Raw genomic sequence first — 27,073 nt, forward strand, 5'->3', positions numbered from 1 at the left:
CTGGAGTTCGAGACCAACCTGGGCTGCAGTGAGCCAAGATCACACCACTGCACTCTAGCCTGGGTGACAGAGATGCTGTCTCAAAAAAAAAAAGATCATAGTTGAAGTGTTTCTAAAGGGTGTTAAAAGTATAAAACTTCAGCTTGCTAATTCTTGTACCAGAATTCTGACACCCTGAGATTCCCATCTCATTACTTTGCCACTAATATTGTTTACTTTACCATTGATTTTGTTGTTGTTGTTTGTCTTTTTGTTTTTCTACATTTAACTAAGAGTATAACCTGTAAAAGTTATTGGTTAGAGTCCTTAACCAGAACAACAGACACTATGATACCCTGGCAACTGGAATAATTTATTTTCATCGCTTCTATATGTTTCATTCCTTCAAGCAATTCCCAAGATATGTAAGTGTTTGAATTTTATTGTAATTCTCTGTCATATGTTATTATTTCCACACAGTTTGGTGGACTAATTATAAGCTCTATTTTTCTCATATTTTCCAGAAAGTATTTATTTTTATATGGTATATACTGCATATAAACAAAATCAAGTTTGAACTTTTTTTATTCCAATTAGCCATGTTCAAATCTTTTCACTTAGGCCAATATGGACCATAGTCATATTGCGCTTTGTATGAAAGTTTACTCCCGTGGTACCTTTCCCAGCATAAATTTGGGCTTATAATTGAGACTCAACAAAGACCAAGAAAGCAAAATGGAACAGAAGTTGTCTATGCCATATCACTCATTCTTCGGTTACTCCTCAAGACGTGCATTGTGTCTTACTCTCTGTGGGAGATAGAGTAGCTTTCAGTCCAGGATAAGTGGTATGACATGCACAGAACACGTGATGGAAAGTGAGGCCATCAGAAGATACTGATAAAAGAGTTGTGGCATTCAAGGAGGAGACAACTTACATCTTGGAGAGAGCAGGGAAAGTGCTAGGAAGAAGGTGCCAGCATTAAGGTAAGCCTTAAACGTACATAGGGCATAGCCATGCCGTGATGGGCTAGGTCAGTGGTCCAACAGAAGCTAGCATAAGCAGAGGCAGGGGGAACCATGTGACACATTGTCAGCCCAGCCAGGAGCTTGATTTGGCAGGAAGGAAATGATGAGACCCTGGGTGGATAGGTAGACTGGGTCAGACCACGATAAGCCTCGAATGCCAGACTTCAGAAATTTGGCTTCAGTGGGTGAACAATGCAGTAATTAAAAGGTTTCGTGAAAATGACAGACTTAACATTAAAGTCATTGTGTTGATTTGTTAGCTAAGATTTTAGTTAGATTTATATACATGCCTTCCTCACTGGTTGTGAAGTTCTTGAAGAAGGAGACCATGTTGGAATCAGTTTTGTACCCCCGGCAGAGTGTCTGACATCTAGTGTGATCAGGATTATGTGAGGAGAGTGGCATGTAGGAAGGATTGGAGTGGGCAAAGAGAAGCTGAAGACAGAGCAGTTCAGACCCCAGTGATATAGGGACTGAGCTAAGGTTGAGGCAACTGGAGGGACAGTTTCTTCATCCATTCAGGCTGCTATAACAATATGCCTTAGACCCAATAATTTACACACAACAGAAACTTAACTCTTCACAGTTGTAGAGACTGGGAGGTGTAAGATCAAGGTGCTGGCAGATTCTGTGTCTGGTAAGGGTTTGTTCCTCATAAAAGGGCTCCTTGCCGCATCCTCAAATGGTGGAAGGGAGGAACAAGCCCCTTGGGCCTCTTTTATAAGGGCAGTAATCCCATTCAGAATCATTTCCCAAAGGCCTCACTTCTTCATACCGCCACCTTGGGAATTAGGTCTCAAGCTATGAATTAGGACATAAACATTCAGACCATAGCAGAAAGAAAAGGAAGCATGGGCAGTGCTGAGATGGATTCCACAGGACTGTGCTAGAAGGAAAAGGAAGCATGGGCAGTGCTGCTGAGATGGATTCCGCGGGACTGTGTTTAGTTGTGCTCTTTCTTTTTCCACGGCAAAGCTTGCTGTTTAGGGAGTTAATTTCAGATTGGAATATGAGAAGAAAATTTATTTATGTGACTCTTTTCCTTTTTGGCATTTTCTTTGTTTACATGACTTTTTTTTTAAGAAAGTTAAATTTTAAATAATTTATGAAGCTAGAGTTTGGGGGATTTATATGTATAAAATTTCCTTCAAGCTTCTAGAGTATCGGAGTATTTGTGAATGATAAAAAGAAAGGTAGGGGAATGAGGAAGACCAGTTTATTACGAAGGCCAAAATTTATTGTATCTATTTCTGTGTGACCTTTGATAACAAAAATCAAGAACTTTTGTTTCCCTTTTAGGTGACAGGAGCCTGTTGCCTCTTTCTGGCTGGGAAAGTAGAAGAAACACCAAAAAAATGTAAAGATATCATCAAAACAGCTCGTAGTTTATTAAATGATGTACAATTTGGCCAGTTTGGAGATGACCCAAAGGTAAGAATGATAATAACTTCCTGCCTTCTGGTCTTGATTCCTTATGGTAGTATTGTACAGTTCCACATGTTGACAGTGCCTGTAGCCCTTGTGTCTGCCAGTCTCTTGAGTTCCTAAGAGGGCCTTCTGTAGAAGTTACTTGATGCTTTTGTAAGAAAGGAGGGAAGATCGTGTAGCCTACACTTACTCAGTGCTTCCTTATGTGCCCAGCAGTATTCTAAGTACTTTGGGGCAGTGGCACATTTCATGGATATGAGCAAAAATCCTCTTAATTGCCATTAGGACTCTGCTTCTTAAGTGCAGTGGTGATGGCAGGGTTACAACTCCAGCTAGCTTCTGGGTCAAACAAAAGTATGTATGCTGTATGTACACATACACATGCCTACATATGCCATGTGTCTTTTGCTTCTAAAGAATGTTGGAAGGTATCAACATTTGCAGCATTTTTATGCACCCAGAGCTTGATACTGGTCACACCAGCCATCCTATCTTTTCCATACAGCTCACGCCAGTGTCAGCAAGTGGTGCTCAAATAATTGTACATATTTTGTTGTGTTTTTAAAATACCACTTTTAGGGACCCATGGCAGTGTTCCTCCACTCCCATTCGCATCAAGTTCCCCTTGTTGCAACCTCAGTAACACCTGTTAATTATCCTTCATAACATTTATCACAGTTTGCAATTAAATAGATTTTCAAAAATACTTTAGGCCAAGCCGGGCAGATTGCTTGAGCCCAGGAATTCAAGACCAGCCTAGCCAACATAGCGAAACCCCATCTCTACTATATAAGAATAAACTGGCCAGGCGTGGTGGCTCACGCCTGTAATCCCAGCACTTTGGGAGGCTGAGGCGGGCGGATCACGAGGTCAGGAGATCGAGACCATCCTGGCTAACATGGTGAAACCCCGTCTCTACTAAAAATACAAAAAATTAACCGGGCGTGGTGGTGGGTGCCTGTAGTCCCAGCTACTCGGGAGGTTGAGGCAGGAGAATGGCATGAACCCGGGAGGCGGAGCTTGCAGTGAGCCGAGATGGCACCACTACCCTCCAGCCTGGGCGACGGAGCAAAACTCCATCTCAAAAAAAAATAAATAAACTAATATTACTTTAAAAAAAAAAAACCTTTATTATTTTTTGCTGGGCATGGTGGCACGCACCTGTAGTCCCATCTACTTGGGAGGCTGAGGCAGGAGAATTGCTTAAGCCTGGGAGGCAGAGGTTGCAGTGAGCCAAGATTGCGCTACTGCACTCCAGCCAGGACGAGAAAGCAAGACTCCACCTCAAGAAAAAAAAAAAATGCTTTTTTTTTTTTTAGAGCAGTTTTATGTTCACAGCAAAAATGAGTGGAAAGTACAGAGATTTCCCATATACCCCCCACCCAACACATGCACAGCTTCCCCCATTTTCAGCATCCCCCCGACCAAAGTGGTACATTTGCTATGACTGATGAGCCTGCATTGACACATCACCCAGAGTCCAAACTTTACATTAGGGTTCATTCTCAGTGTTGTACATTCTGTGGGTTTGGACATACGTATAGTAACATGTAGCCACCATTATAGTATCATGTAGTCTATTTTCATAGCCTTAAAAATTCTCTGTGCTCCACCTGTTTGTCTCCTTCTCCCCGCTAACCTCTGGCAACCACTGATATTTTTACTGTCTCTATAGTTTCACCATTTCCAGAATGTCATCGAATTGGAATCATATAGGATGTAGCTTTTTCAGATTGGTCTCTTTCACTTAGTGGTGTGCATTTAGATAGTAGTATCCATTAGATGATTTTTATCAAATTATCACACACATAACTCCCTCCCCTTCTCAGCTGTAAGATGCATGAAAGCAAAGACTATCTGTTTTGTCTAATGCCTCATTCAGTGGCAGGACAGAGTAGGCATTCAGCAAGTACTCGTGGAATAAATGTCAAACTAATGGTCTGAGGAAATTTCTAAATCACAGTTAAAGCTAAAGCGATGAAGTTCAGCCCCATTCATGGTGTTGTTTTTCCTAACTAGCTTGTATTGTCTCACAATAGTTATCTTTTTCTCTGCCAAGCATTATGTATGTATATACAAAATGTATAGTCATTCTCCTCATTGCTTTGAGGAGTTAACAAGGGCCCAGAACACTTTTATACATATTGTGGTTGTGATTAACACTAGTATTTTCTAAGTATTGCCAATGTGGGTAACTCTTTTGAACTTAATTATAAATCCATTAATCTGTTTATAAACATTTGAACCTATTAGGAACTCATATTAACTATAACCAAAAATGCAGTTTTATAGAAATAATTTCACCATCAGATAATGTTTTCAATGTGCATGGGTATTTGATTTTTACTGAGTAGTGGGGCCCTGTGTCCTAACGTGATAAGTCTGATTGTAGGAACATGCTGTGGTTCAGTCACACCCCCGTCACAGGGGCAGGTGAACCTTGTGGCTGGCAAGCTGTGCTTAAGGATAAGGCATCACACAGATCTGGGACCACAGCAGGGCATGGACTCGTGGCAGCTGCTGGTTTGTGCCATCCCAGGGTGCCTTGGAGAAGCCCCCTTTACTTTTAGCCTTTACCCACTGTACCATGAAGTCAGGAAACCAAGCCCCAGTCCAGGAACAGTGAAAGTAGAAGTTCTGAAGCTCCTGTGCCCCAGAAAATGGGAAAAGAGGGGTCACCATACCAATTAGGTCTGAATGGGGGAGGGGGCTTTGCAACCTGCCCCCTGCCTCTCTATCTCGCGCAGTCTTCCCTGGTCGGAGTCGGGGCCAAAGGAAAACACCTGGAGCTGGGAGCAGTGAAGACATTGGGGAAGATGTTTTCCTCTGCAGACAGGAGGGCAATTCTTTAGTGGAGGCAGTATAAGTATTTAGGAAAAATAAGATCATGAGTCCCATGGAACATTTTTTGCCTTAATTAGCTTTATTTTAATTGTGTGGCTTTTCTCTGTAATATTCGTTTCAGCCTTTGTGTTGGGCACTAGACATGAGGCACGAGGCAGAACAGACATGGTCTCTGCTCTCATGGACTCTGCAGTTGAGTGGCAGGATAAATTTTAATCAAATGAGTATATAACTATTTGATGATGAGTTGTGGTGTACGCTGTAAAAGGTCATTTAAGGTGCTGTGATAGCATTCCACCCAGGGACCCAGGCAAGTCCCCCGGATAAATAGGGGCTGAGGGAAGGCGTTCCTGAGGAATGATGTTTGCTCAAAGACCTATAATGACCCCATTAATTGAATATTTGGAAGACAGAGGGAGGGCAGGCCCTGGGCTATCCTGTAACAGTATGTGGGCTACAGCCTGCAAGCCAATTGGTACACTTGGTAAAAAGAATTGTTTCTAAATTTAGAGGAAGTGTTGAAGCTTCTGGGAAGCAGGTGGTGACAATGACATTCAAAGAAAAAAATTGTTTTGTTTTGTTTTTTGAGATGGAGTCTCACTCTTGTTACTCAGGCTGGAGTGCAGTGGCACAGTCTCAGCTCACTGCAGCCTCTGCCGCCCAGGCTCGAGCGATTCTCCTGCCTCAGCTTCCCAAGTAGGGGACTACAGGCGCCTGCCACCATGATTGGCTAATTTTTATATTTTTGGTAGAGGTGGGGTTTCAGCATGTTGGCCAGGCTGGTCTTGAACTCCTGACCTCAAGTGATCTGCCCGCCTCGGCCTCCCAAAGTGCTGGGATTACAGGCATGAGCCACCATGTCCAGCCCAGTTTTTTTTACACTGTGTGAAAGTTTCTAAGATTTTAAAAAACTTTCATGAGAAAATGCTTGGGAAACTAAGATTGAAAAACCTTAGTCTTGCCATGTAATTTGGAATAATAATTATAGAATCATCTCTGTATCCTATAAAATAATACCATGCTTCTAAATGAAAGCCAGTGACCTGTGGGTCTCTGCACCTGTTGATGAGATTTACAGTCCTCTACAACGCCCTGTCTTTGATGCCAAACAAGGAATTCTCTCAAATTGTCCTCCCCGCACACAGTGTCTTGGTTGTGGTTTATGTTGTCTTTAAGCAGTAGGTACAGTCGGCTGTACAGGGGCTGAGTTCAAGACATTAGTTAGAGAGTATCATCAAAGAGGACATTCCATTAACGATAGCAACAGTAAAATATCCAAGGTTAAACCTTGTGGAAACCTCGTTAGTGGGGTGGAAAGGACTTTAAAACAACTAAAGGACTGAAAAGATATTAATAAATTTTTGGAAGGAAACTTCAATATGGTTAAAAATCTCCATTCTCCCTAATTATTCTATAAATCCTCTGAGTTTCCAATGAGAATATTAATAGCATGTATGTTTTCTGTAATGATACTAAGTAAAATGGTTACTAAAATTTGAGTGAGGGGGACATGCAGAACCCAGAAACTGTTTGAAAAAGAGAAGTAATACTGGAGCTATTGTATCCCACCCAAATCCCTTTGATCCTGGTCCAGGAGTAGACAGGCAGATCAGTGAACAGAAAAGATAGTGTGTGTGTAGGCAGACATACACACGTAGTTTAGGAGGTGATTTAGGTAGCATTTTAAATAAAATTGGAAATGATCATTTATTCAGTAAGTGTTGTTGGGATGATTTATTTCAAATAAATGAAAGATTTAAACACAAAATTGATTTGCCCCCATTTGCACGTAATACACTATATGTGTACATGAGTATATATACACACACATACACACACACTGGTACAATTTATCTCTGAGTTTTCATGAGGCTGGCTATCATAAACTCTTTCTTGCTTAAAATGTTTTCAATGAAAATTCCTAAAAGATTGCATTTTTAAAATTTGAGGTCTTGAAAGAAATTACAATTTAGTCAAATTATCAATAACGTAAAGATCTGTTTTGTAAAGGGAGACTCATGTATGTATTGAAAATAATAATATTTTTAAGGATCTTTTGTTTTCAGTATTTTTTTTTACATTACACCTCTGCTTTGTCTTCCTGTTTGAGATCTTTTCAGAATTTATCAGTGTCTCTGAGCATGTTAAAAGTCTGAGTGGGAGAGAAAGGAAGGAAAGGCAGTTGCTAAAATATAACTTGAAGAGAGAATAAATAGACAGGAAAGCTCACTTTTGTAATGCTGCTTGAGACCTGCAATTGTAATTACTGTCCTAACATTTGTGATTGATTTTTAGGAGGAAGTAATGGTTCTGGAGAGAATCTTACTGCAGACCATCAAGTTTGATTTACAGGTAGAACATCCATACCAGTTCCTACTAAAATATGCAAAGCAACTCAAAGGTAAGAAGAAAGTTTTCAGAAGAATTTTTTCATTCTGAAATCAAGTCTTTATAATTTGATGACACTCAAATTACGCTTCTCAAAAGCGGAAAACAAAGTTTGATGTGTGAAATACCAAGGGCATGGCTTGCTCAGTCAATTCAGCATTGCAGCTGCTAATGCTGTTTCCTTTTATGTATAAACAGGCTCTGTCATCCAGTTGCCAAGTGATGGGAGAGGCAGGAAAATGAGGCAGAATTTTTTAAATGGACTAATAAACTTAGCCTTGGAGCCAGGTTTTCCATACATGGTGGTTCAGCGTAGGTCATGAGGAGGAAGAAGGGGTAGGATGTGGACCCACATCATTCATCCTTGTTTCCCACGCAAAAGCTCTTTGCTGTGTATTTGAGTGGTGCTGAACACGTGGTAGGTTTTTAATAAATACTTGATGCTGCCTGTGAATTTTTCTATTGCTATTAATTTACCTTTTTGTCCCCATTTCTAGGTGATAAAAACAAAATTCAAAAGTTGGTTCAAATGGCATGGACATTTGTAAATGACAGGTATACATGTTCAAATGTTGATTAATTACAGTATTTTAAAATAGGCAGAGACTTTATGGACCATTTCATCTAAACCCCTCATTTTGTGTCAGAAGAAACTGACTTGCCCTGGCTTGAGGAGCCAGTTAATGGCAAAGCTGGGGCTGACGTCCAGGTCATCTGCTTCCCGGCAGAGGGTTTCCTTCTGCCCTGCCGTGTCATGGTGTTGTGAGGTGCTGAAATTTTATCACCAGTCTGAAACATAAGTCCAAAACAATACACTGGAGAATTTTGAAAACTAATTACTTAGAGCCCATTTGGTTTTGCAAAAATATACTTCCTGGTATAGTTTTAGAGCCTTAACACTCTTTTGAGAGGCCAGGGATCTAATGAGGGGCCGTGGTGGGAAACAGAATGCCTGTGAATGGAGTTGCTGCCAGCCCCATCCCACTGCAGTCAGTGAAGCTTCTCTTACATTTGACTTCCTCCATAAGATTTCATTTGAAGAAACAGTTGAGTGGCTAGGATTTCAACAGTTTAAATAACATAAGTCATTTTCATTGGTGTAGCAATTTTTGGATGTGCTAGAATTCTTCTGATTCTTTAAGGAATAGAGAAATTACTAACTATGGTTAAAGTAACTTAGTCGGGTACCTTTAGAAGAGTAAAGACTTGAGTTTATTTATTTATAGTACTTTAATTAAATTTAGGGGAGAATAAGCAAATTAATGGTTAGTTATGGCATCTCCATGCACTGGTTTAATCATAAATATTAGATCATATTATCTAACCTTTTTTTTTCTTGTTGAACTAGTCTCTGCACCACCTTGTCACTGCAGTGGGAACCAGAGATCATAGCAGTAGCAGTGATGTATCTCGCAGGACGTTTGTGCAAATTTGAAATACAAGAATGGACCTCCAAACCCATGTATAGGAGATGGTGGGAGCAGTTTGTTCAAGATGTCCCGGTCGACGTTTTGGAAGGTACCAGGCATGCTAAGCGTTCTCGTGAGGGTGTTCCATGTTGAGATGATTCTTCCATGTGTACCCTGAGTCCCAAGAATGGATTTTCCCAGATAGACATATGTGAGCAATATTTCAGAAGCATCATTAATTAAATTATCTAATAGTTTCCACTTTGTCCAAACACATACTTTTGGTAAACTAAAAATACACACCAGTGTTGCACACAACGAAGATGGGGTGAGTTGTAAATGTGATTCATGCTTAGGTCCTCGTAGGGGTATCATAACTGATTCTTTATCCAGGTAAAATTTTATTTAAAATACCAATTTGTGTAAAATGTAATTGTTGGCTATCATTTAGACATCTGCCACCAAATCCTGGATCTTTACTCACAAGGAAAACAACAGATGCCTCATCACACCCCCCATCAGCTGCAACAGCCCCCATCTCTTCAGCCTACACCACAAGTGCCGCAAGTACAGCAGTCACAGCCGTCTCAAAGCTCCGAACCATCCCAGCCCCAGCAGAAGGACCCCCAGCAACCAGCCCAGCAGCAGCAGCCAGCCCAACAGCCCAAGAAACCCTCTCCGCAGCCCAGTTCTCCCCGACAGGTTAAGCGAGCCGTGGTGAGTGGGCTAAAGCAGGCCCTGGGTAGAGCAGGCTTTCCAGGTGGCGGCAACACCTGAGCACTGTTCCCATTTCTAAGCGAGCACAGGGAACACCGGAAGCAGGGGGTGTTCGCCGAAACTCGCAGTCCGACTGCTTGTCGGTGGGGAGCCTGAAAACAAAGGTGCTCCAAGGACAGGCTGCCTCTGAGAACCAGGAGGGGGCTCTCTGCCCGGCTCCAGCCCTGCTGCCTGTTTCATCCCTGCCAGGGTTCTGAAGCCTGTCGGTGTCGTTGCCGTGTCCTAGCAGTGTCGTTGTGCATGCTGCTTCTGTGCAGCTGCCTGACCCCAAACAGTGGACCGTTTCCTGCACCCAAGTGGTCCTGAAACTTAGTGTTTACTCAGAACTCACCATTCAGGAAAGCTAGTCATTCTGTCTTATTTGGTAAATGGAAAGAGGAAGGGAGCAGAAATGATGATCTGGTAGGTGCCGTGGTTTGCCCTGAAAGTTCAGGCTAGAAATAATTTTTGTCCGAGGCTGTTCACAGTGACTGCCGTCGCTGATTCTGGTGGTACCTGGATAATCCATTTTTTTCTCATCATACTCAGGATCCCAGTTAACAATTGTGTATTTTCTTTTGTAACAGGTTGTTTCTCCCAAAGAAGAGAACAAAGCAGCAGGTAATTTCCTGTTCTGATGTTTTTTTAGTTTTATGTGTTTATATGCAAAACTTTAAATTCTTAGCCAACATTGTTTCTTTTCAGATCTAAATTGGCCTTAAATCTTAACTTTAGAGCTCATACAAAACTTTTCCATCAGCATTGTCTTTCTGTTCATCACCTGATCATAGATTCTAAAATTGTGCTCTTACGAAGCTATCAGTACAGAAAACATTACTGGCAATAAAAATGTACTCAGTAACATATATAAAAGTATAATTATGGCTGTAGGAGAACTGTTGCTGCAATTTTATTTTTAGAGACTATTTACCCCCATCACAGCAGCAGGAGTCCTCTCCCAAGCACCAAGCCACAGCAGATGCGGGGGGGCAGTAGGGGGTGGTGTGCTGCCCGGACAGCACCAGCCCGGCCCAGCCCAGCTGCCCTTGCAGGCAAGGCCTCTTTGAAACACACTTGGGTTGAGGTGCTGTCACATGTCTAGAACCCAAAGTTAGTTCATGTCAATATTGGAAATAAACAGAAGGAGTGAGCAAAATTGGAACAATTACAAAACAGAAAGTTAGAAATGTTTTGTCACAGGGTCAGTCCACCTATCATACTGAACTCTTTGAAGGCACAGACCCTATTGACTCATTTGTCTTTCTTTGTTACTTGGTTCTTAGTTCCAGTAGTTCCTGGTTCTTAGAACCATGTTCTCGGTTCTTAGTTCCATTCATTAAACTGCTGTGAAATCTTCCAGTTATGATAGAGCTACTTTTTTTTTTTTTCCAGTATATTTGAGGGAATGATGAGTTCAGTACAGGTGAATTTTTTTTTTTTTTTTGAGACAGAGTTTCACTCTTGTTGCCCAGGCTGGAGTGCAGCGGTGCAATCTTAACTCACCACAACCTCCGCCTCCTGGGTTCAAGCAATTCTCCTGCCTCAGCCTCCCGAGTAGCTGGGATTACAGGCATGCACCACCAGGCCTGGCTAATTTTGTATTTTTAGTAGAGACAGGGTTTCTCCATGTTGGTCAGGCAGGTGTCAAACTCCCGACCTCAGGTGATCTGCTCGCCCCAGCCTCCCAAAGTGCTGCGATTACAGGCATGAGCCACCGTGCCCAGCCTACAGGTGAATTTTTTAATTAGCTTCAAATTGACCGACATTAAATGTTAGACACAAGAACGGGCTACACTCCATGCCACATGAAATGCAATTGAGTTGACGTGCAGGTCTGTCAGAGGCAGGAAACAAACTATATATGACCTTGAAGGAAGAGTTGCATTTGAGCAGCGAGAGCAGAGGGGGAGGATGGAGCAATAAGTTGGAAGTACGCAAGTGAGCAAAGGAATTGAGAATCAGGGGAAATGGAGAGGAGTCTTTCTGGAATGTGATGAATTGAAAGGCAATAGCTTCTGATAGGATCTAAAATGTGGGTTAGGACCAGATCACAGAGTTTACCTGGAGGACTGTGAGTTTGGCAGAGGCAAGGGAAGCCATTGGAGATTTAGCAGGGGAATGGCAGAGTCTAAATTCATTTGAGAAGGAGTCCCCTGGCAGCAGTAAATAGGGCAAGTGGTTAGGAATGGGGAGAATCTTGCTGGCACTCATGGGAAACATGGTGGCCTCAGCATGCTGGCTGCGGGGCAGGAAGGGCAGATCCGGAGGAAGCTTTATAGAGGAACTCAGCTGCACTGTGCCATGCCGAAGGCTACTGGCTGCAGAGGGCTGCAAGCACTCGAAATGTGACTGGGTCAAATTCTGAAGCACTGACAATGCAAAATACACAGAGATTTCCAAGAAAGGAGAACGTAAGACATCTCATTAGTAAAGCTTTATATTGGTTACATGTTGAAATAAAATTTTCGATCTATCGGGTTAAATAAATTTTATCCTTTTTCCTTTTATTTCCAGAGTCTTGCTCTGTTAATGCAGGCTGGAGTGCTCCTTTTTCTTGTTAAAGTGGTTCCTGGCACACTTGTAATCCCAGCACTTTGGGAGGCCAAGGCATGCTTTGAGCCCAGGAGTTCCAGGCCAGACTGGGCCACATAGGGTGACCCCATCACTACACAAAACTTAAAAATCAGCTCGGCGTGGTGGCGCCACACCTATGGTCCCAGCTACTTGGGAGACTCAGGCAGCAAGATCACTTGAGCCTGGTTGGTTGAAGCTGCAGTGAGCCATGATTACATTACTACACTCCAGCCTGGGTGACAGAGCGAGACCCTGTCTCAAAAAATAAAATGGCTCCTGGAAAGTTTAAAATTGTAGATATGTGGCTCTCAGTTATATTGCTGTTGGACAGCCCTGATGTAGACGGCTTTAGCTAACTATTACCAGCTGTGGAAAAAGGCAGGAGGTGGGTCCCTGAGGTGAGAGTAATAGCAGTTATAGGATACAGAGGCAAAAGGTAGAGTGTGAGGTGCTGATTGGTGGGTCTAGGGATGGGCCATGGTTTTGGTGGCAAGATGGACGCTAGAAATGTAGGTTTGTAGTTGTCCACTTAGAGAGGGGCTTTGGACTCTGAGGAAGAGGGTGAAGAGAGAGGAAGTCCCTGGAACTTAAATTGAGCCTGTATTTGAGATGGAGGAAATCCAGAGAAAGAGGCCAGTGATGGCAGAGGAGACTCAGATCTGAGTGGTGTACAAGCCAGAAGAAAGTACATTTCAGGAAGAAAAAGCCTCAGCATGCAAACAGAAAAATAGGGTTCTTTTTCAGTTGTGATGTGCACGCTGCCTTCTTAAACGGATGAGATTGGACTTCCCTTGGGCTGCCTTGGAGACCTAGTGCTGTCATTGTGGATTCTGGCTGCGTGCCGCTGCCTGACCCCGGAAGGGTGGGCTGTTTCCTCCACCTCAAGGGGTCCTGACTGCTGGGCTTTTGTGAGCGGCACATTCTTCCTGCCATCAGTGTGTCAACCTCCAGAGCTCTGCTGACTCCAGTTAATGTGCTGCTTCTGACATGCTGCCAACTGGAAGTCAGTATTTGGGAAAGAGAGAATAAACTATGTCTAAGAATGAAAAGATAGAGATTCTCTTGTGGAACCCTCAGGGGACTCAGTGACATGATGTTGCTACTCTGGACCCTTCTTTGTGTCCTCTGTACCAGGGAGGACTCCAGATAGGTCATACATGCTCATGAAGACGTTGCTCTGCTGGTCTCACATGGTCGGAAGGACTTGAGTGAAGTGGTCAGCAAGGAAACTTAGGTAGACATGGAAAATGGGCTGCCTGTGGGAAGCTCGCAGGTCTTTTGGAGGGAGGTGGCATTTAATTTGTTAACAGGATTCATGCATAATGGTTTAGCTGAAACCTTCTTCAAGTTCCCTTAAAGCCTTGGTCATCTCTGTTGTTTTTCTCCCAAAGAAATCTCTGCCAGTACATTTTTCTTTATGACATGCTTATTCATGTGAAGAAGTATGAGTGGTTTTCTAATCTGCTTTTTCTTTGTAGAACCACCACCACCTAAAATCCCCAAAATTGAGACCACTCATCCACCGTTGCCTCCAGCCCACCCACCTCCAGGTAAGCATCTGCTGAAGCAGCTTGGCCAGCTGTGCACATCGCCTCTGAATGTTGGACGCAGCAGGTCCTGGGAACTTAGAAAAGGGAGACTGGGGCCCAGATTGACAATGTCAGCCACAGGCAGGAATCTTTGCAAAATTGTTCTTGGGCTGGGCACAATGGCTTGTGTTTTTGATCCCAGCACTTTGGGAGGCGGAGGCAGGAGAATCACCTGACCCCAGGAGTTCGAGGTCAGCCTGGGCAACAAAGTGAGACCCTGTCTAAAAAATTAGCCAGGTGTGGTAGCACACACCTGTAGTCCCAACTACTTAGGAGTCTGAGATGGGAAGATCATTTGAGCCCTGGGCAGTCAAGGCTGCAGTGAGCTATGATTGCACCACCGTACTCCAGCCTGGGTGAGAGGGAGACCGTGTCTCAAAGTTCTGATTTTGACCAGGTATTTTGAGAATGTTGTAAATTGTTAAGTATATCTGAATATTTTCCGACCTCTCACATCCAGAAATGCTAAACTACACATTGTATTAGAATCAGTTTTAGGAAAGAAAGCCAAACCCCGCCTTCTGAGATAGAGGCAGGGTTACTGTGGCTACTAGGCTCCGGCCGCCCCTACACCTGCTTCCTATTGGCAGTGTGTCGTCTTAGTGCATTCTGAAGAATAAGCAATTGTACAGAGAGTAAATGAAAGAGTGAAAAGTTCTCAACAAGTAGTACATGGTAAGCTGGAAAGCCTCTCTGATACCGCTGGCAATAGAGGAGAAAAGCTGTAAAGTAGATGGCATTCTTTACCTGTGGCACCATTTCAGAAGGTGATGCGCTAGAGAAGGCCAGAGTGACCTGTGCTTGCTCTCCAAAAGGTGGTCGATACTCCGGAGGCTTCCAAGCCTCTGTCAGCAGCTCCTCCAGCCTGCTACACTCACTGTTGGTCGGTGCACGTGGCTCACACTGGGGCTGACAGCACTGTGTGCCCGTAACAGATGTGCCACAGATTACATTTCTGTTCCTACTCAATCATGATAGTGTTTGTGCTTTGGGAGAACAGAGGCGTCATTTTCCACTTTGGGGCCAAATCCCAAAACCCCCAATTCAATATGAACCTTACTTAAATGCCTGTGGTTGCTCATGAAGCATTTATGGAGCACCTCCTCGCCAAGTGCAGTTCCCCTGGTCCGAGCCTGGGGCTGTGCCTTCACTGAGGAGATGGGTGGTTTATCTGGGGAGCCTGGGGCAGCCACAGGGGTGCTGCTACCTCCAGGGCACTGAGTAGCTGCTGTGGAGGCCTCAGAGCTCTGCTCCCTCCCCCATTACAGATAGCCAGGAGTAGGCCTGGGACTTGAGTGGGACCTGGGTGCCAGATACACTGCCAGGAGGCCATGGCTGAAGAGAGCAGGGCCTGGGAGGCGCAGTAAAGCTGGGCCGTGAGGAAGGGAGGGAAGTACGCTTCCTGGGAGGCCCTAGGCCATGGGAAGAGGCATTCAGGTCAGCAGTGATGTTTAGGGAGCAGTTTGGTGGCAGTGTGTGGGACTTGGTCAGGAGCAAGTGTACAGAGAGGGAATGGGGTGCCCAGGAGAGACCCCCACTTGCTGTTCCAGCTCAGTCACACAGCACAAGGGCAGGCACACTGGTGACTTGAAGATTCAGGCTACAGGGTCGAGTGTTGGAAAAGTTGATTTCTGCAAGGTGGAGGAGCAGGCCTGTGGGCCCAGGTGGCTGTGGAGTGACACACAGGAGGCATTGAAGGGTGTCAGCACTTTTCTGCACCTCTTTTTTAGTCAGCTCCTAGAACCACAGGGCATCTGGCCCTGACCTGGAGCCAAAGCCAGTTATCTAAGGCCAGGCACATATGACCTTCCTACCCGGTAGGCTGGCGGGGTGCTGATGTGGCACACCAGTGGCACACCTGTTACCGACCTGATGAAATCCTGCTCATGCTCGCTTTGGCAAGATCAAACGGGTTGTGTGCCAATGGCCACGTCTACCCAACCAGGATGTCGTGCTGTGCCTTGCCTAACCCAAGTGCCTGGGGAACCAGAAGCATCTTCGTGGCTTTGTCCTCTCTATGTTCTCTGGAACCAGAAATGTTGCTCCTGTGGTCTGTCTCCTGGGCTGCCTTGGGAAAGGACACTCATTCTGTGTGTTTGGCTACCTGTGGTGGGGTGTTGCGATGTCATTTTCCAGTGGTCTGACGGTGACCCGGGATCACAGGCCAAAACATGTTAAATAAGGCTTTGGCAGAAGGGGGCGTGAGGGCTCATGGGTTGGGAGGCGCTGTGGGAGGGGCCTGAGGCTGGTTCTGAGCACGAGTATCTTGGGCGTGCTCAACACCTAGTGCTGCCTGTCCCTGCTGCACACGCAGCACGCACACACACGCAGCACGCACAGACATGCAGCACGCACGCAGCACGCACACGCACACACATGCACACACTCCTCTCAAGGAGGCTGCTATCTGAGAGCACACAGTGGGGTTTGATGTAGCCTCTCTTGAGTAGAATAGAACCTGAATTGCTGCTTCGATGGGTACACCGGGAATGTCAGAGACTTGTACAGAATTGTTTTAAGTGCCATCACATTCATTTGACTAACTCTGAGGTTTTCTGCAAAATGCCACTGCTGCAGACAGGAGTTCAGTGTGGCCCTGACCCCTGGGGTCAGTTTCTGAAGGCAGAAAAACAGAGGAGCCCCCACACGTTTTGCACTAGGAAGAGGGGGCTGGGGCCAGGGCACAAGGGGGCTTCGGGTGCTGCCGAGACTGCCTGTAGGTGGTGTGGTCAGGGCTGAGGGAGGGAAAACCCCAGGTCGTCGCAGACAGGGTGGAGGGCCTTCTTGACAGATGGTGGGGAGACATCTGGTGGCATCAGGACATGGGGCATGGGCCCATGCGTTGGGCCACAGAGGAGGCGGGCAGCTGCTCCCTGCTCCTCTGTAAAGATGGCCCTGAAGGGCCAGGAGGCACTGAAAAAGCAACCATTGCTGGCGGAGGCCGGGCACTGATGCGTCTCTCTCCTGCAGACCGGAAGCCTCCCCTCGCTGCTGCCTTAGGTGAGGCTGAGCCGCCGGGCCCTGTGGATGCCACTGACCTCCCCAAAGTCCAGATTCCCCCTCCGGCCCACCCGGCCCCTGTGCACCAGCCACCGCCGCTGCCACACCGGCCCCCGCCCCCACCCCCCTCCAGCTACATGACCGGGATGTCCACCACCAGCTCCTACATGTCTGGAGAGGGCTACCAGAGCCTGCAGTCCATGATGAAGACCGAGGGACCCTCCTACGGTGCCCTGCCCCCCGCCTACGGCCCACCTGCACACCTGCCCTACCACCCCCATGTCTACCCGCCCAACCCGCCCCCGCCACCTGTGCCTCCTCCCCCAGCCTCCTTCCCCCCACCTGCCATCCCACCCCCTACTCCTGGCTACCCCCCACCCCCACCCACCTACAACCCCAACTTCCCACCCCCACCCCCACGCCTCCCGCCTACCCACGCAGTCCCCCCTCATCCTCCTCCAGGGTTGGGCCTGCCGCCAGCCAGCTACCCACCTCCTGCCGTCCCCCCTGGAGGACAGCCTCCTGTGCCCCCGCCCATTCCCCCACCCGGCATGCCTCCAGTTGGGGGGCTGGGGCGGGCAGCCTGGATGAGATAACGTGAGCCTTTTTTCCCTCTTTGTTTTTTTAACAAGATTTTCTAATCGACTTGCAGAGTAGTTGAAGTGGGTAAGCAGCAGGGTACCTTGTATAATGCACGACAGTTGCAGTATGGGAAGAATGGACCGGGCCCCTGGGATAAAATCAGAGTGGTCCTCACACCTAGAGGACGGGGACAACCAGCTTTCAGAGTAGCCTCATCAGTGCCCTTGCAGTCTGACTGTGTACACTTGGTTCAGCTAATGTCTGAGAGTCCTGCACTGGGTTACTTTATACTAGTGAGGACGTTAACCAGCCATATTGGCTCAATAAATAGCTTCGGTAAGGAGTTAATTTCCTTCTAGAAATCAGTGCCTATTTTTCCTGGAAACTCAATTTTAAATAGTCCAATTCCATCTGAAGCCAAGCTGTTGTCATTTTCATTCGGTGACATTCTCTCCCATGACACCCAGAAGGGGCAGAAGAACCACATTTTTCATTTATAGATGTTTGCATCCTTTGTATTAAAATTATTTTGAAGGGGTTGCCTCATTGGATGGCTTTTTTTTTTTCCTCCAGGGAGAAGGGGAGAAATGTACTTGGAAATTAATGTATGTTTACATCTCTTTGCAAATTCCTGTACATAGAGATATATTTTTTAAGTGTGAATGTAACAACATACTGTGAATTCCATCTTGGTTACAAATGAGACTCCTTCAGTCAGTTATCCAAATAAAAGCAGTTCTGAAACTATCCCTTTCTTTGTTATGGGTGGAAGGTGGGGCTCCAGGCCTTCGCAGTCTGTGGCTTATAAAATGTGCAGAGGCCCTCCTTCCAGACCCTGGGGACGCGGGAGAGGCCTGGCTGCAGCTCACAGCAGCCACAGCCAACCCCACTGCCTCCCAAGGCACTCTGGGTGGATCCGCACAGCTGCCTGCCAAGCCAGCCTGCCCCCATCCTGTGCCTGCCTTGGTTTCCTTTGGAGGACCTGGTTGAGTTCCAAACCAGTTTGAAACTTTGAAGCCTTGCTGCGTAGAACGCACACAGGAACCCGGGGGCTTGGATTTGAAACCCTTTCCACTTCTGGCCTGTGATGAGACAGAGGCAGCTGGAGGAGCAGCGGCCTCACTGTCCACCTTGAGGGGCCACGGCTCTGTCTGTGGAAGGGGCCCCGACTGAGCCCCCATCTGCGGTGCTTGAGGGGCCTTGGCCCTGTCTCTGCCTGCTGACCCTGCCACCCACGACAGAAACAAGCACTGAGCACCCAGCCAGGAGGCTCACAAAGAGGCCTTTATTTATCTAGCTCAAAGTAGACACTATCACAATCTTGTTTGTTACTCCTTTTACTAAAATAGTTCAAATCAATGTTTTTACCACACTATCAAAAAGTTCTATTTCTTCTTGTCTCCCCACGTCAGAGTGGTTGAATAGAAGGTAGAAACAGGCCGGGAGTCCACGGGCTCCCAGCTCTAAACGGCGCCAGGGCAGGAAGGGGTGGCTCCAGGTCTCACTGTGGCACCTTCTACAGAAAATAGACGTAGCTGCCGGGCCCGGGGACAGAAACCAGACGTTCCAGTCCATCTCCAAAAAGCAGCACAAATACTTTGCCCCACAGTATGAAAAATATACACCTCTACCGCTCTGCAGTCATGCATTTAGTTTTAAGAAAAAAAAAAAATCAGTAGTATGTATCTTGTTTCCTCAAGTTTCAAGAAAAAAAAAATGAAAGGTCACTTTTTTCTCTTTAAACACTGATGTGTAGCTAGTAACTTGGATAAAAAGGTGCCACCCTACAAAATGTGCTCAGCATGTTCTGAGGCCAGGATGGGCTTGGCCACCTGGGCTGGGGCGAAAGGAGACCTCCATCTGTCACAGTGGAAACTGAAGCCGAGTGCCAGTGCCGCGTCCGGCTTCAAGATCAAGAGTCAGAGCCTTTGAAATGGAAAGGGGGCATCTGAAAGGGCACCCCCACTGGGGGCTTTCAGAGCTAAGGCTCCAGAAGGAAGGGGGTCGCCCTGCTAGTGACGGAGCTGGGAGTCACCCTGAGCTACAGCATGCCCAGATTTCCCCTGTGGGAAGCCCCATCTGACCTTCTACAGCCCACGGCTCTGCAACTGCCACCTGTACTCAGGTACATGGCGTCGCTGCTGCTGGCTTTTAAAATCAGCTATTAGTTTGAGATGTGACAGTCGCCGACAGGGTTCTGTCCTAGAAAGCCATCCCAGTGCCGTGTTGGCTCAGGGGTCACCAGCTTTGTGCTGCCTCCGTAACAGCAGGAGGGTTCTCAAAGCAATGTTCCACTGATCCCTGGATGCCACTGCAGCATTAAAGACAGGGTCAGTCCCCTTGAGGGGAAAGGTGGCTTCAAGGCTGTTCTCTGGGCCTGTTTGCAGGAGATCCGCAGGTACCAGGAGCCCGTACTTATTGCTTATTTCAGTGGTGGCCACGCCAACCTGACCCAAACATGATGCACACGGGCTCCCAGACTTGGCTGCCACTCAAAATGGACCCACAGCCCTTGGGCTACTCTGCGGTTCTTTGGACTGCAAGACCCAGAGGGGCCTCTGCTCAGCTGCCCACTCGGGCAAGAATCACTGGGTACCATGAGCAGCAGGTGTTCACCCAACTTCACGTGTACACCCCTAGTGACCGGGAGCGCACCACCTGACCGGGCGACACTCCTTCCCAAAGAGCCTCCTGGCAACACCCACGGCAGGAGCGCCACACCATCCCATCACCAGCACCCACTTACCCCCCTGGGGCTAAGATGGGGGGCGTGAGCCTTTCCCCTGAGAGCAAACGGGCAGCAAGAACTGCTCAGAATAGAGCCGCCAGCTAGGGAGAGGGACAGGGCGGCCATCTCCCTCCTCTTGCCTGCATCCCCAGCCCTGGGCCTGCATGAGACCTGCTGGGTAGGAAGACAGCCTCTCTGGGCTCTTCAGGTGGGGCTGAGCAGCCCCTGGAAGAGCACAGGAGTCTGACGAGGACCTGGTGAGGTCCTGGACCCAAGAGCTAGGGCTGCTTACAGTGGCATGAGCGGATGTGGGGAAGCGGCCTGTCCCCGTGCTGCAGCTGTGGGATCAAAATCCCTGTCATGTGCCACACATCACCCCCTCTAGGCCTTACTTTCCTCACACACACAGTTTTCTATTGCACTTTACAGTTTATACATGGTCATTTACACTGAAGATCTCACTTGATGCCAGAATCCTGTGAGGAGGGCCTTATGCTGCCCATTTTACTACTGAGGACACGGGCTCAGAGTGGGGAGGCAACTCTCCACCCGCAGCGACTGCAAGGCAGCAGAACTCAGCTCCACCCGGCCCGCCCTCAGCCGTCGGCTGTTGGCTCACGCCCCCTCAGTGAGGACCCCTGCCCTGTGGCGCTGGATGACCTGGAGCCATAAGCATGGCCGAAAAGGAACCTCAGAGACCTGTTTCCACCAAGAGCCCAGACAGGCTGAGTGAACTGCTAAAGGTCACACCACAAACTAAAGGCAGAACCTGGCCAGACACGCTCCTTCCCAAAAAGAACAGAACTCTCATCTGCAGCCTACACAGCTCTGTCCACAGGGACCCAAGATGCAGCCAGGCCCTGGGGGAGGTCACAGCCAACCAGAGCCCCAGCTGTGGCCCAGTGCTGCCCATCAGGAAAATCACATGTGGCTCAGCCCAGAAACTCTCCCCAGGCCCTTCCTGTTACTGGCCTGTCATGTAAACCACGAAAAGGGACGTGCCTCAGGCATGGGGCAGGAGGAGCCCAAGAAGGGCATAGCCTGGACAGGGTGGCAGGGGGACATTGCAGAGACTGGGGGGGAGGGGGATGACCTCCAAAAGCAAGGAGCAGCGGGCATCGGGTGGCTGAGCACAGATCCCCAGGTGTGAGGGCACCCTGACCTCCAAGGCTGAGGGTCACAGGAAGGGCCCAGGGCAGCCTCCAGCCAGCCACAGATGTGGTGAGTGGCCTTGTCCACATGCCGGGGACCCAGTGCTTGGGGGGCCTGGGGCCAGGCCACGGCATTTGGGCAAGAAGTGGTGCCACCTGCGTCAAGACCCAGGTAGTGGTGGTCTCTGTCCAGTGTGGGTGGCAGCCGGGGAGTAGAGGGTTTGATGAGTGGCCCCTCCATCCCAGGCAGGACAGAGGAGCCTGGACAGTTCCCAGGCTGGATCTCAGAAGCAGCCTGCAGCCTCTTGCTCATGGAGCCCAGGGCCCAGAGGGGGAATGAGGCGTCCGGGCCGCTCTGCTGCAGGAACAGTCGCAGCGTCTCGTCTTCCCAGGTTGCTGGTGTATGAGGCGGGAGATGGCGGCTTGGGCCAGTGCATCGGACCCATGGCAGCTGGGCCAGGGCGGGCAGCGTCCTATGTACAGTTCACCACAGAGGAAGAAGACAGGGGCTGGGCTGGAGGTCCTGCCCGTGTCTGGGGCCTGAAACTCCCCCTGGGGACCCCCAGCAGGGCCAGTCCACGTCCACAGAAGAGTGGCCCTACAAAGGCCCCTTGAACTGGTTCCCAGACAGGTGCTGCCGTATGGAGGGCTTGGAGCTGGCTGCATCTCCCAGCTTTCTCCAGACCACCTGTGGAGAGGAGAGAGATGTGAGTGGTGGGACTCACCCGCGTCCACCTGCCGCCTATGCACATCCGCCGCCTCATCACGGCAGAATCACCCACGTCCTCAGAGCCATGGGGCCAGGAGGGACACGGAGGCCACTGCAGGCCCAGAGACACCCACACCAGGTCTTTGCATGCCGCGCTAACTATCGGGCCTGAGCAGGTCACTGCTGGGGTGTGGCTCAGCCTTGCAGCTGTCCAGTGGGGTCCACAGGCCCCACTAGGTGATGCGGGGGAGGGGCTGCACAGTTCAGAGCCTCTCGCCCCCCCTTTAAGTCCTGGGTTCAGACCCTATGAAACTCCTTCCCCGATGGCTCCTGCAAGCACCCCCAAGGAGACCGCCGATGGTGCTCAGCTGGGTCGAGCACGGAGCTCTCCTGGGCAGCCCCAGCCTGGTGGGCTGGAGGGTTCCACCTGGACCTCCTGCTCTGAGCACCATCTGCCCAGCCAGCAGCCACAGGGGGCACCAGCAAGCTGAGAGGCCCGGGGGCCAGCACCCAGGGAACACCTGGGGTGAACAAACCAGTCCCGGGGGGGTGGGGGGCTCAAGCTCTATCCAGAACCCCAGGCACGGCACTCCTGGGGAGGGCGGATCTGCAGACACCAGGGGCCCTCTGGGAAGGGCAGGGGGCAGCGAGATGACAACGGGCCAGGGCTCCTAGCACCTCTGAGGCCTCCCCCCAGCTATCCAAGGTCACCCAGCCTTCGCTGAGCATTCGAGAAATGGAGTCCCACATGGGGAAGGGTATGGCCATGCTGGGTGGCCCTGGTCGCACTCCCAGTGCCAAGCCTCTGCCCCCCACCCCTGGAAGCCTCACGTTGCACATCTCGCGAACGATGGCCTTCTCCTTCTCACTCAGGTCCTCCTCACAGCTGTCCTGGAGCTGCCGGTCCAGATTCTCGTGTACCTCCAGGACCTGAAGGGAACGGGTCTCGGGGTCAGGGGCAGAGGCCACCGGCAGACCTCGGGCAAGTCACCTGGCCCCTGATCCTCAGCCTCCCCTGCTGCGAACCAAAGCTGAGGACCCTGAGCCGCTGGGCCCCTGGGGACAAGCGTGGAAAAAACTGAGGGGCAGGTTGTCATCTCACCCTGCTGACACTGGATGCCCTACAAGGGAAGCAGCTCATGGCTGGGCCACCCGGGAGGAAGTAGACAGGCTGGGCAAGGAAGACCCTCAGACAGGTGGACTCACTGCAACCCAGGGCCCGCTGGAGATGAGTGGGCACTCGCCACGTGGAGGGGGTGTGAGTAGGCGTGGCCGTGCATGCATGTGGGATGTCATGGGGCACGTACGTAGGAGGAAGGGGGGCATGGGAGTGGGGACTGTGCTCAGGTGTGCACAGCCTGGAGGAACCGGAGCCCATCGGACTCACCAGTCTGCACCTGCAGAGGCTGGGCCTGGCAGACCTGAGGTTAGTTCTAGCCCCACTCCTGCCCCTCTCTCTCTGGCCTTAGTTGGGTGCCTGCCCTCCCCGACCCCAGGCCTCAGTCTTGTTAGGTGCAGTAGCTCAGGGATGGCAGACAGGTGACACACTTATGACTGCCACCTCTGAGTTCAACCTCACAGTGCTCCAGGCAGCCATGGTCACCCAGCCACCCACACACAGATGAAACCTCCCACCCCTGCCACTTGGATACCCCTAGGTGCAAAGGTCCCACAGTCTCACAGTGCACCCAGCATCTGAGGACTTCTGAGGGAGCGGGTAGTGGCCCTCACCTTCATGGCATGCACGACAGCCTCGGGCTTCTGTCCTGCAGGGCTGTAGCCAGCAGAGGGGGGCGAGGGCAGCTCAGGTGCGGGGCAGGCCGGGCCCTGGGGAAGGCAATCACACATCTCAGCTCACCCTGGCTGGCTCCCACAGGAATGACCGGTGGCTCAGACAAGGCCCCCATTCTGAGGGGCCAGGGCCCAGGCAGGAGGAAAAGGGGACCGGGGTGAGGCAGAGGAGGCAGGTGTGAGGATGGAGACCCAAGGAGCCCACAGCCAGTCTGGCCAGTCCCGCCCACCAGGTCTTCTGCAGATGAAATGGTCCCTGATAGCACAGAGGCAAGAGGGGCAGTCCAGGGCCCACCCACACCTCTCAGGCTCCTCTACAACACCCCACAGATAAGACCTAGCGTCTGTTTTGCAAGGAAAGTAAGTTCAGCCTAGGGAGGGCAAGAGACCCAGATCACAGCAAGACCAGGAAGGTCTGGACTTAACCCTGGCACCTGACTCCAAACTCCCTTCCCCTGCCCACCCTGGAGCCACCGGTGGGCGAGGCCGGCTTCGCCCTGAGCACTCCCTGGGGCCTGCCTCCCAGCTGCCACCTCCCAGCCCTGCGGGATGAATTGGCTGCCAGGTGCCCAGCTCCCACATCAGGCCTTGGGGAGGGGACCCAGCCTCTGTCAGAAGCTGCGTGTCTACCCAGGGGCAGGCAGTCCCACCCCCAGCTTCCTGCCTGGAAGGGTCCATGTGGCTGGGAAGCCAGGTGCAGGGCTTCTGCCTCGGGCTGCAGTGGGGACCACAGGGGCCCAACAGAAACCAGCAGGTCACAAGATGCTGGGAGAGGCTTGGGAGGAACTTACAAGTGCCCAGAGCCAGACAGAAAACACCCAGCGGTGCCCTGTGGGCCCTGGAAGCGGGGTTTCCAGGACATCTTCGGGGCTCCCACCTCTGGCAATCCTTGGGCCAACCATGGAAGCTGAGTCTGCCGCCCTCTCTGTAAATGGGGCCCTGATGACGCCTCCCAACGGCCTGGCAAGCTCAGGGAGCTGGGCTGGAATCCCACCCACCCAGGCCTGCATCATGGGGCCACCTAACACTGCAGGGCTGGGTTCTGCGACCCTCAGGACCTGGAACCCCCTGCAGGCCTGGCAGCCAACCCCTGGTGCCCTCCCCGCCCGCCCTGGCCTGGACCTGCTCCCAGGGCCTTGCAGGTTGACCGGCTCCCGCCTCCACATGGAGACCAGGCCCCACCCCTGAGGCTAGGGGGCCTGGGAGCTGCTACCTCCGGAGGCCCCCCGAGCCCTGGGGTCTAGGAAAGCGTCATTGAGGTGGGGCTCAACCCACGCTGAGCCTCGGTTTCCTCGTCTGGACAATAGAAAGGGTCCTCTGCCCCAGGGTGTGTGCAGACCCCTAACTCCAGCCCAGGCTGTTGGGTCTCTGTAGTGTAGGGAACCCAACAGGGACGCTGGGGATTCCCCCTGGGGCAACGCAAGGCGGCACTCCCCGCGCCAGACAGCAGGGGGCGCCAGTCGCACACATACGGCCCTGGGAGACCTGGGCACCTACACCTTCCTGCACCTTCCGCTGCAGAACACAGGCCATGTGCCAGCCGGCCCCTGGCACCTCTGGCCTCATCTGCACCAGGCCCCTGGGCTGCCTGTCCTGTTACAGCCCCCGGCTCTAGGGGGCTGGGATTTCTGCAGCACAGGCAGGAGGGAAGCCAGGAGCGTGGGGGTGGGCTGTGCAAGCCGCCCCTCTCCTGCCCGCCTCACTGGGCAGTGGTGGGTGCCAGCGAGGGCATGGCCCGGGATCCTGAAAGTGACACCAGGACTAGACAAAGCCCTAGTGTTACCTCCAGGGCATTCCCGGGGTGCAGGGGCCCCCACCTGTACTAGAACTCAGCCCCCTCGGGCCACACACACCTCCCACTGACTAGGTACCCACTTAGGGCAGATGGGCCCACTGAGTCCTTGCCACACTGCTCCCAGCAGGCACTATCTTTTTACATGTTCATACATGCCTTTTTTTTTTTTTTTTTTTTTTTTTTTTTTTTGAGTGAGAGGATCTCACTCTGTCGCCCAGGCTGAAGTACAGTGGCACCATCTCAGCTCACTGCAGCCTTGACCTCCCAGGCTCAAGCAATCCTCCCACCCCAGCTTCCAGCGTAGTTGGAACTACAGATGCACACCACCATGCCCAGCTTTTTTTTTTTTTTTTTGGTAGAGATGGGGTTTCATCATGTTGCCCAGGCTGGTCTTGAACTCCTGGACTCAAGCAATCCTCCTGTCTTGGCCTCCCAAAGTGATGGGATTATAGGCGTGAGCCACTGAGCCTGGCCTACATGCCCACTTTACAGACAAGGAGAGTGAGGCTAAGAGAATGGCTTGCCCAAGACCAAACAGCTTGTAAACAATGGGGCTGGGCGCCAAACCCAAGTCTGTGGGACTCCTGAGCTGGTGCCCAAAGTGAGGATACCAGTGTGCACCAGAGAGAACTGAAAATAGACATCCACAAAATACCTGTCGCCAAACGCTCAGAGCAACACCATTCATGTGAGCCCAAACATGGAAACGATCCAAATGTACAGCAACAAATGAAGGAATCATGTGTTCCACCCACACAATGGAATAGTATTCAGCCATGAAAAGCAATGAAGACCAATACAGGGTACCTGTGGCTGGACCCTGAGAACAAGATTTGGAGTGAAAGAAGCCTGACACAAAAGGCCACACGTCATGTGATTCCATTTATACGAAATATCCAGAATTGGCAAATCCGTGGAAACAGAAAGCACCAACCAGTCGGTGGTTGCTGGTGGCTGGGAGGAAGGGGGACGGGAGTGACGGCCGATGGGTACAGGGTGTCTTTCTGGGGTGATGAAAATGTTCTACTGTGATGACGGCACAAGTCTGAGTGTCCTCCCTTAGGAGGCTGATGGGTATAAACCACCTCCCACCCTCCACTGGGCACCTGCCCTGACAGCCAGTGGATGGAGGGTATGGGCAGCAGTGGGCAGGGAGGGGGTGTCCACCCCAGAGAGTCACCTGCTTTACCCAGGGACTCTCCAGCATGCCCTCAATGTGCCCATGACCCACAGGTAGCCTTAAAGGAGACTTGCCTGGGTCTGGAAGGGCCTGTGTGCCAGGCAGTGTCTGAGCCCGGAGACGGCCCTCTCTGGATAACCCC

At 50.1% G+C, this 27,073-nt stretch overlaps 2 protein-coding genes across 4 annotated transcripts in view, besides 6 other annotated features; one reads left to right on the forward strand and one right to left on the reverse strand.

Moving 5' to 3' along the window:
- CCNK (cyclin K) overlaps positions 1–19,249 on the forward strand; it is a 31,032-nt gene extending 11,783 nt beyond the window's left edge. For all 3 annotated transcript variants that reach the window (XM_047431839.1, XM_005268154.5, NM_001099402.2), the window contains 9 exons: positions 323–404; positions 2,307–2,438; positions 7,575–7,680; positions 8,165–8,222; positions 9,016–9,185; positions 9,528–9,793; positions 10,420–10,453; positions 13,885–13,956; positions 16,966–19,249. In XM_047431839.1, the coding sequence (XP_047287795.1) occupies positions 323–404; positions 2,307–2,438; positions 7,575–7,680; positions 8,165–8,222; positions 9,016–9,185; positions 9,528–9,793; positions 10,420–10,453; positions 13,885–13,956; positions 16,966–17,591 (1,546 nt within the window). In that variant the 3' untranslated portion in view covers positions 17,592–19,249. The remainder of the gene's footprint in view (positions 1–322; positions 405–2,306; positions 2,439–7,574; positions 7,681–8,164; positions 8,223–9,015; positions 9,186–9,527; positions 9,794–10,419; positions 10,454–13,884; positions 13,957–16,965) is intronic.
- Positions 6,999–27,073, reverse strand: part of CCDC85C (coiled-coil domain containing 85C) — a 104,018-nt gene continuing 83,943 nt past the window's right edge. Inside the window, exons 4-6 of the mRNA NM_001144995.2 lie at positions 23,897–23,992; positions 22,997–23,095; positions 6,999–22,144 (exon numbers count right to left, since the gene is read on the reverse strand). Coding sequence (NP_001138467.1) covers positions 22,055–22,144; positions 22,997–23,095; positions 23,897–23,992 — 285 coding nt within the window. The 3' untranslated portion in view covers positions 6,999–22,054. The remainder of the gene's footprint in view (positions 22,145–22,996; positions 23,096–23,896; positions 23,993–27,073) is intronic.
- Positions 9,416–9,916: an enhancer, noted in NCBI's record as "H3K4me1 hESC enhancer chr14:99968944-99969444 (GRCh37/hg19 assembly coordinates)". NCBI's record gives its function as "activates a minimal SCP1, AML or CMV promoter by ChIP-STARR-seq in naive H9 embryonic stem cells {active_cell/tissue: H9 hESC(naive)}" and the evidence as "EXISTENCE:reporter gene assay evidence [ECO:0000049][PMID:30033119]".
- Positions 9,917–10,417: an enhancer, noted in NCBI's record as "H3K4me1 hESC enhancer chr14:99969445-99969945 (GRCh37/hg19 assembly coordinates)". NCBI's record gives its function as "activates a minimal SCP1, AML or CMV promoter by ChIP-STARR-seq in naive H9 embryonic stem cells {active_cell/tissue: H9 hESC(naive)}" and the evidence as "EXISTENCE:reporter gene assay evidence [ECO:0000049][PMID:30033119]".
- Positions 15,115–15,670: an enhancer, noted in NCBI's record as "H3K4me1 hESC enhancer chr14:99974643-99975198 (GRCh37/hg19 assembly coordinates)". NCBI's record gives its function as "activates a minimal SCP1, AML or CMV promoter by ChIP-STARR-seq in naive and primed H9 embryonic stem cells {active_cell/tissue: H9 hESC(naive and primed)}" and the evidence as "EXISTENCE:reporter gene assay evidence [ECO:0000049][PMID:30033119]".
- Positions 18,113–18,614: an enhancer, noted in NCBI's record as "H3K4me1 hESC enhancer chr14:99977641-99978142 (GRCh37/hg19 assembly coordinates)". NCBI's record gives its function as "activates a minimal SCP1, AML or CMV promoter by ChIP-STARR-seq in naive H9 embryonic stem cells {active_cell/tissue: H9 hESC(naive)}" and the evidence as "EXISTENCE:reporter gene assay evidence [ECO:0000049][PMID:30033119]".
- Positions 18,615–19,114: an enhancer, noted in NCBI's record as "H3K4me1 hESC enhancer chr14:99978143-99978642 (GRCh37/hg19 assembly coordinates)". NCBI's record gives its function as "activates a minimal SCP1, AML or CMV promoter by ChIP-STARR-seq in primed H9 embryonic stem cells {active_cell/tissue: H9 hESC(primed)}" and the evidence as "EXISTENCE:reporter gene assay evidence [ECO:0000049][PMID:30033119]".
- Positions 19,115–20,115: an enhancer, noted in NCBI's record as "H3K4me1 hESC enhancer chr14:99978643-99979643 (GRCh37/hg19 assembly coordinates)". NCBI's record gives its function as "activates a minimal SCP1, AML or CMV promoter by ChIP-STARR-seq in primed H9 embryonic stem cells {active_cell/tissue: H9 hESC(primed)}" and the evidence as "EXISTENCE:reporter gene assay evidence [ECO:0000049][PMID:30033119]".

The sequence above is a fragment of the Homo sapiens genome, chromosome 14 (assembly GCF_000001405.40).
Source record: "Homo sapiens chromosome 14, GRCh38.p14 Primary Assembly".
Taxonomy (NCBI): Eukaryota; Metazoa; Chordata; class Mammalia; order Primates; family Hominidae; genus Homo; species Homo sapiens.